Source organism: Homo sapiens, chromosome X (genome assembly GCF_000001405.40).
Source record: "Homo sapiens chromosome X, GRCh38.p14 Primary Assembly".
Classification (NCBI taxonomy): Eukaryota; Metazoa; Chordata; class Mammalia; order Primates; family Hominidae; genus Homo; species Homo sapiens.
Genome location: NC_000023.11, coordinates 30,603,744 through 30,611,170, shown reverse-complemented (window position 1 = coordinate 30,611,170; position 7,427 = coordinate 30,603,744).

The window sequence follows — 7,427 nt, the reverse complement described above, 5'->3', positions numbered from 1 at the left end:
TTTAAAAATGGGTAAAGGCCGGGCGCCCTGGCTCACGCCTGTAATCGCAGCATTTTGGGAGGGTGAGGCAGGCAGATCACCTGAGGTCAGGAGTTTGAAACCAGCCTGGCCAACAGGGTGAAATCCCATCTCTACTAAAAATACAAAAATAAGCCTGGCGTGTTGGCGCATGCCTGTAATCCCAGCTACTGGGGAGGCTGAGGCAGGAAAATCATTTGAGCCTGGGAGGCGGAAGCTGCAGTGAGCCAAGATAGCGTTATTGCACTCCAGCTTGGGCGACAGAGCAAGACTCTGTCTCCAAATAAATAAATAAAAATAAAAATGGGATAAGATTAGTAACTAACTCATAGGGTCGTGGAAGTGAGTAAATGAAATAAAACATATAAAGGGTGTAGTACTGTGCCCAACACATGGCAAATGCTTCACAAGTTGTTGTTTCTGCCTCAGATTAAAACCATTGCGAATGTTTTCAGTGGAGTGTAGGGTTTCTTTTAAAAAAAGATGGAAAATTTCTGATTTTGAGGGCTTCAATATTTAAAGGGGAAAAGCAGGCTGGAGGGGAAAGAGGGAGGGCATGGTCACATTACTGAATTTACATATTGCTAGAGAATAGGAGCAGGTAGGGGAATAGTCAATTATGTATTTGTCTAACGCTTAGTAAATCGGCACTTTACATAAGATAAGCTGAACATAGAGTAGTTACCTGCGGAGATATTTAACCTTTTATGTGTAGCTATTTGCTTCAAAACAAAAGGAAAGGCAGTTTCTTGCATGACTCAGCTTTTAGCTTAATTTTTTCCTTTGGCAGAGTGAATTGGGTTTCCAAGATTTTATTTTCCTTTTACACAGCACACCCAAAGTACGTGACACAATCTAATTTCATGTGGGCAACAATAACTTTCACATTGAGCATATGAGAAATCCGGAGAGACTCATGGCATAGACTGTGATATAAATAGAATCCTTAAATTGTGGAGTGTACCCACCTACACATGAACTAAATCTATTTTTATGAGATCATCACTGACTCCATATTGAGCATATTAAGGAACCCAGAAACATCTGTGGAATAGAGTGTAATATGAAAGGTCTGCCTACAGCTGTGTAGTGCACCCAACTGTATATAGAATAAGTCTACTTCCATGGGGTCATCACTTCCTTCCACACTAAGCAAATTAGGAATTTAGGAAGATCCCTAGTATAGATTGTGGTGTGATTGCTGCCTCCTTGATTTGTGTAGTCCTCTCAACCATGCATAGACTAGGTCTACTTTGATATGACTATCACTAAATCACATTCACATATGAGTAGATCTGAATAATTTATGATATATACTGTGCTATAAATGGCAGCCCTTCAGTTGTGCAATGTAACAATCTCTGCATGGTAGACCTATTCTCTATAGTTATCCATTCTTTTTTCTTCCTTGAATTTTAAAGTACAGATTCCCTGAATTTTAGCTGAAGAAATGACCACCAAAATAAAGACAACATTTCTCAGCCACTTTTGTAACAAACTGTGGCTATGTAAATTCTAGACCATGTGTGTAAGACATGTGAAACTTCCAGGAAGTGTCTTTAAAGTGAGGTAGATGCTCTTCCAGAAAATTTGAATGAGATTGGATAGTTGAGTCTAAGAAGTCATATTCGGACATGAGGCAGAAGCTATGTGTGGAAGACAGTAGAGCAACAAACTGGAATGGGCCTGTTTCTTAATGACTGGAGGGTTACTATGCCATTCCTGGGCTGCTGACTTTGACTACTTACTTGAGAACTATCTTGTTTATAAGCCACTCCTTAATGTAAGATGTGAGTCCAACGTAGCCATTCCAAATCCCAACTGTTAGGGTTATTTTTATGTGTCAACTTGGCTAGGCTGTTATGCCCAGTTGGTCAAATGCCAATCTAGATGTTGCTGTGAGGTTATCTTTTTAGATGTGATTGATATTTAAATCAGTAGATTTGAGTAAACAGATTACCCTCCATAATGTGGGAGGGCCTCATCCAATTAGTTGAAGGCCTTGAGAGAAAAGACTGGAAGGCCACTGAAGAAGAAGAAATGATGTTTCCAGATTGCCTTCAGACTCAGGACGTCGACTTCTTGCTGGAATTTCCAGTCTGATCTGTGGGTTTGGGTCTTTTTAGCCCCCGCAATCATATGAGGCAATTCCTTAAAATAAATCTCACCATCTCTGTCTTTCTCCTTCTGTCTTTCCGTGTGTGTGTATACACACGTTCTGTTTTTCTGAAGAATCCTGACTAATCCATCAACTAATTCAGTTTTTGGTTTATTTTAGTTCATATATTCTATTCTACTTCAAAGACCGCCTGCTTAAATACTATAAATAAATGTTGCAGAAACCAGCTATGAGCCAACAGTGTAACTTTTGGACAAGTGATTTTATACATCTAAAATTAGGTACAAATAATTAGGTAATAATCCTCTGCATGTATCACAGAACTATTTTGAGGACAAAATAGCTGTGTTTGGAAAACAAAGGCAAAAAAAGTACTTTAAAAAATGTAAAAGACTATAATTCTTGATATCCAGAACAAGTTATATATCAACTGTTGTGCTTAACAACTTACTCAACAGCTAAAAAGAACAGACTTTGCAGCTTGTAAAGAAATATGACTCAATTTTCAAGTCAAGCGCTTCGAACAGAACTTGAAACGTATGCCTGCAAAATTCCATTCATGACTGGGATATTTTGTCTGGTTATTGGGTCAAGTTAAATGGATAATTACTTTATTAGGTGTGCATGCCCGGCAGCCCACTATTAGGGTTTTATGGGGATTTTGGGGTCTGTAGAAGCTGCATACAAGGAGGCACACTTTTCCTACCTTTACCTCTGTAGCTGAGCCTTAGCATCAGGAGTTTACTAGCTAGAAGAGAAAGCTTGTCCAACCCACTGCCCGCAGGCTGCATGCGGCCAAGGACAGCTTTGAATGCAGCCCACCGCAAATCCATAAACTTTCTTAAAACATTATGAGATTTATTTTTTGCAGTTTTCTTTTTTTAGCTCATCAGCTATTGTTGGTGTTAGTGTATTTTATATGTGGTCCAAGACAATTCTTCTTCTTCCAATGTGGCCCAGGGAAGCCGAAAGATTGGACACCCTTATTAGAGCATCTCTTGTTCTTGACCCAAATGGTAGCGTAAGTGACTATTCTATCACTTATCTTTGTTATGAAGAAACCCCTTAAGTAATAAAACAAAACAAAAAACTTTTTTCTTTTTTGATGTATTCCATGTACATAATTATCAATATTTGGAGTGTTGCCTCAACTGGTCCTTGTGGCAGCCCTAAATTTTTTTTTTTTTTTTTTTTTTTTTTTGAGACAAGGTCTCGCTCTGTCACCCAGGCTGGAGTGCAGTGGCTCAGTCTCAGCTCACTGCAACCTCTGCCTCCCTAGCTCAAGCAATCCTCCTACCTCAGCCTCCTGAGTAGCTGGGATTACAGGTGTGTGCCACCATGCCTGGCTAATTTTTGTATTTTTGGTAGAGATGGGGTTTTGCCATGCTGCCCAGGCTGGACTTGACCTCCTTGGCTCAAGCGATCCTCCAGCCTCCGCCTCCCACAGTGCTAGGATTACAAGTGTAAACCACCATGCCTGGCCTAAACTTCTTATGTTATAAGTCTTGATTAATTCTATCTGGACTCCAAATTCCCCTAACAGATACCATATTTATCTATTCTGTTAGCCCCATTGGTTTCTGCCATATAAATGTTTTCATCATTCCTCACTAACAAGTCTTTCTCACTATGCCACAGTGATTATACACTCATCATACTAAATCTTTTATTCTCTGGGATATGTCACTCTTTGGCATCTTTCCCGTGTCTATCTGTGTGTTTTTTCTTGCCTTTACATGTTCATAATTACTGTAATATCTCCTAAGCAGGAATCTTTTTTGCAGGGCAAAGCTAGGTTTCAGCTTGCTTAATCTTAGGTATAATTGTGACTCTTGTTTCTCAGGCCATTCTTGCCATGGGGAAAAGGTTAAAGACCATCTCCTGAAAAGAGGTATTTGGAACAAGCCTGCAACAATTTTTTAAAATTTATTTTTTGGGGGAATATGTAATACAAATACATAGTACAAAAGGGCAAAAAGCTCCCTAGGCACCCAATTCCTCTCTCTGGAAAGTAAACAAAATTGTCAGTTTCATGTGACTCCTTCCAGAGATATTCTAGCATTTAAAAGATATACACAAAATAAAAAAAAATAGAAAAAGACACACACACATATATACAAACACACACAAACACGAGAGAGAGAGGGAGAGAGAAGGGAGGAGGGCATACTGCATGTACATTATATAACTCCTTTTTTTCACTTAATATATCTTGGGGAATGTTTTATATCAGTACACATAGAGCCATCTCATTCTTTTAAATAGCTGCATTATACTCCATTATATAGATGAGCCGTTATTTATCCAATTCCTTACTGAGGAACACTTGGGTAATTTCCAATCTTTTCCTATAATAAAAAATGCTGTAATGAGTGTCCTTCTACATACATCATTTCACACACCTATGAAAATATCTTTATAATAACTAAGAGCAAAACTCCATAGTCAGAGGACCTGTGAAGTTACAATTTTTTATAGACATCTTTGACCATTAGTATAAGGGGAAAATTGAATCTCTTTGTAGTTTCCATTTGCATTTCTCTGATCACAGTGAAGTTGAGTATCTTCTCCTAGCAAATTGTTTTGTTTTTGTTTTGTTTTGCTTTGAGATGGAGTTTTGCTCTTGTTGCCCAGGCCGGAGTGCAGTGGCAAGATCTTTGCTCACTGCAACCTCCGTCTCCTGGGTTCAAGCGATTCTCATGCCTCAGCCTCCTGAGTAGCTGGGATTACAGGCGCCAGCCACCATGCCTGGCTAATTTTTGTATTTTTAGTAGAGACAGGGTTTCACTATGTTGGTCAGGCTGGTCTTGAACTTCTGACTTCGTGATCTGTCCGCCTCGGCCTCCTAAAGTGCTGTGATTACAGGCGTGAGCCACCGCACCCAGCCTCTTCTTAGGCTCTTAATGCTGAAAATCCTCAAGGTATCAATATATCACTTCATTCCCTAGAGTTCTTGATATGCCTATCAAAGCCAGGTGCTTTTTATATGCAGAAGTGATGAGAATGTCCATCCTCGCTCCCCTGCTGTTCCTTATCTCCTAGGCATTGACCCAGGCCCCTGTTTGTGTCTCAGTGACATTTGCTTTTTTTTTTTTTTTTTTTTGAGACAGAGTCTCACTCTGTTGCCCAGGCTTGAGTGCAGTGGCACGATCTTGGCTCACTGCAACCTCTGCCTCCTGGGTTCAAGCGATTCTCCTGCCTCAGCCTCCAGAGTAGCTGGGACTACAGGTGCATGCCACCACACCTGGCTAATTTTTGTATTTTTGTATTTTTTCTTTTTTTGAGACGGAGTTTCACTCTTGTTGCCCAGGCTGGAGTGCAATGGCGCGATCTCGGCTCGGCGCGATCTCGGCTCGCTGCAACCTCTGCCTCCCGGGTTCAAGCGATTCTCCTGCCTTAGCCTCCCGAGTAGCTGGGATTATAGGCATGCACCACCACACCCGGCTAATTTTTTGTATTTTTAGTAGAGACAGGGTTTCTCCATGTTGGTCAGACTGGTCTTAAACTCTCGATCTCTGGTGATCCACCCGCCTTGGCCTCCCAAAGTGCTGGGATTACGGGCGTGAGCCGCTGCGCCTGGCTTAATTTTTGTATTTTTAGTAGAGACAGGGTTTCACCATGTTGGCCAGGCTGGTCTCGAACTCCTGGCCTCAAGTGATGCATCCACCTCGGCCTCCCAAAGTGCTGGGATCAAAGGCTTGAGCCACCGCGCCCAGCCAACATTTCCTTTTAAAACCAGCTCCTCAGCTTCTGCCTACAGGACATATTCTCAAGGCAGGTCAGTCTGAGAGCAGGGAACCGATATCTGGGACAGACATCAGGCTGTCTTCTTCATTATCTGAAGCCATCCTGATACAAACAGAGTTCTCCTGACCTTACTCACCAGTATATCATGTAAGCCTGAATCCCTGTTCGGGTGAAACCTGGGGTCACAACTCTATAAGGCATGCTAGGTCCATCCCTGTGTGGGTCCCTACCCTGCTTTCTCCTTCTATTCCCTGTGCCGCCCGTCTTACACCCCAACTCTAAGTCTCTGTGCTCTAAGTATAGTGGATTATTGGCTATTCCCTAAATGTGCATCAACTTTCGCATCTCCTTAACTTTCCCCATGCTGATGTCTCTTCCTGGAATCTTCTTTCACCAATTTCTACTTGAAGATTGCTTCTTCATTCTTTATGACTCAGCTTTAATGGTCATTCACCTGTCAAATCTTCCTCAAGGGTCTTCCACATTGCAGAGGCCTCTAGCATCCCCCCAGGCTCCTAAATGAATATCTAGTTATTTATTTTTTGTCTATAAATATTTTATAACTATCATACTATTTTAGTAGTGCTTTGTAAATAATTTTCCTATCAAAAAATTAATGATATTCTGACTTGGAACTATTTCTTAGTCAATCCTGGCAGTCTCTAACTGGGAAATCAAACACAGACAGTTGCTTGATGGTAGGAGTTATTTCCCAGGCACTAACACAGAAGGTATGGTCAAAAAGTATTGGCGATGTAGATGACTAAGTGATTGAATAGATAAGGAATGATGTGGCAGACAAGACGGCAAGCAGGGAGCAAATGGCAGTGCCACAGCTGGGGGCATGTAAAAATGACAAGTGTTTCCCTACTTCTGGGAGTGACAAATTACTTCAGAAAACTAAGAAGGGTATCTGTTGAAATTCTTGACTCATAGGTTAAGGTGCCTTAATGGTACATTCAAGGAGAAGAGGCAGAGTTCCTGAAATCAGGACTTGACCTAGTCTGGGCAGTGGGTCAACTAGCTACCCTTGGGAAGGGGTGTATGTCCTAGATGATTCTGGACTAAGAATATCCTAAGGAGAGGGCTCTTACGTCTCTTGGACATATGAGGATACCTTGATAGACAACAAAGATGTGCCTTGTGGGTGTGTATTTATAGTAAAAAATATGGCACTCAGTATATTTAGTGAACAAATAATAGAAAATAATTGTAACTTCCAACTGGGCAGGTATTAGGAAGGTATGTATGGAATTGGGTATGGTATATTTCAGTGACAAGTCTGTTTTCCACTTTCCCTTGCTTTTTTCTTATTCCTTGAATTTATATAATTTTGTCTTTTATATATGGCAATTTTCCAATCATCTTATTTTCTACTTTATTTATTTTTTTTTTAAATTTATTTTTTTATTGATAATTCTTGGGTGTTTCTCACAGAGGGGGATTTGGCAGGGTCATGGGACAATAGTGGAGGGAAGGTCAGCAGATAAACAAGTGAACAAAGGTCTCTGGTTTTCCTAGGCAGAGGACCCTGCGGCCTTCC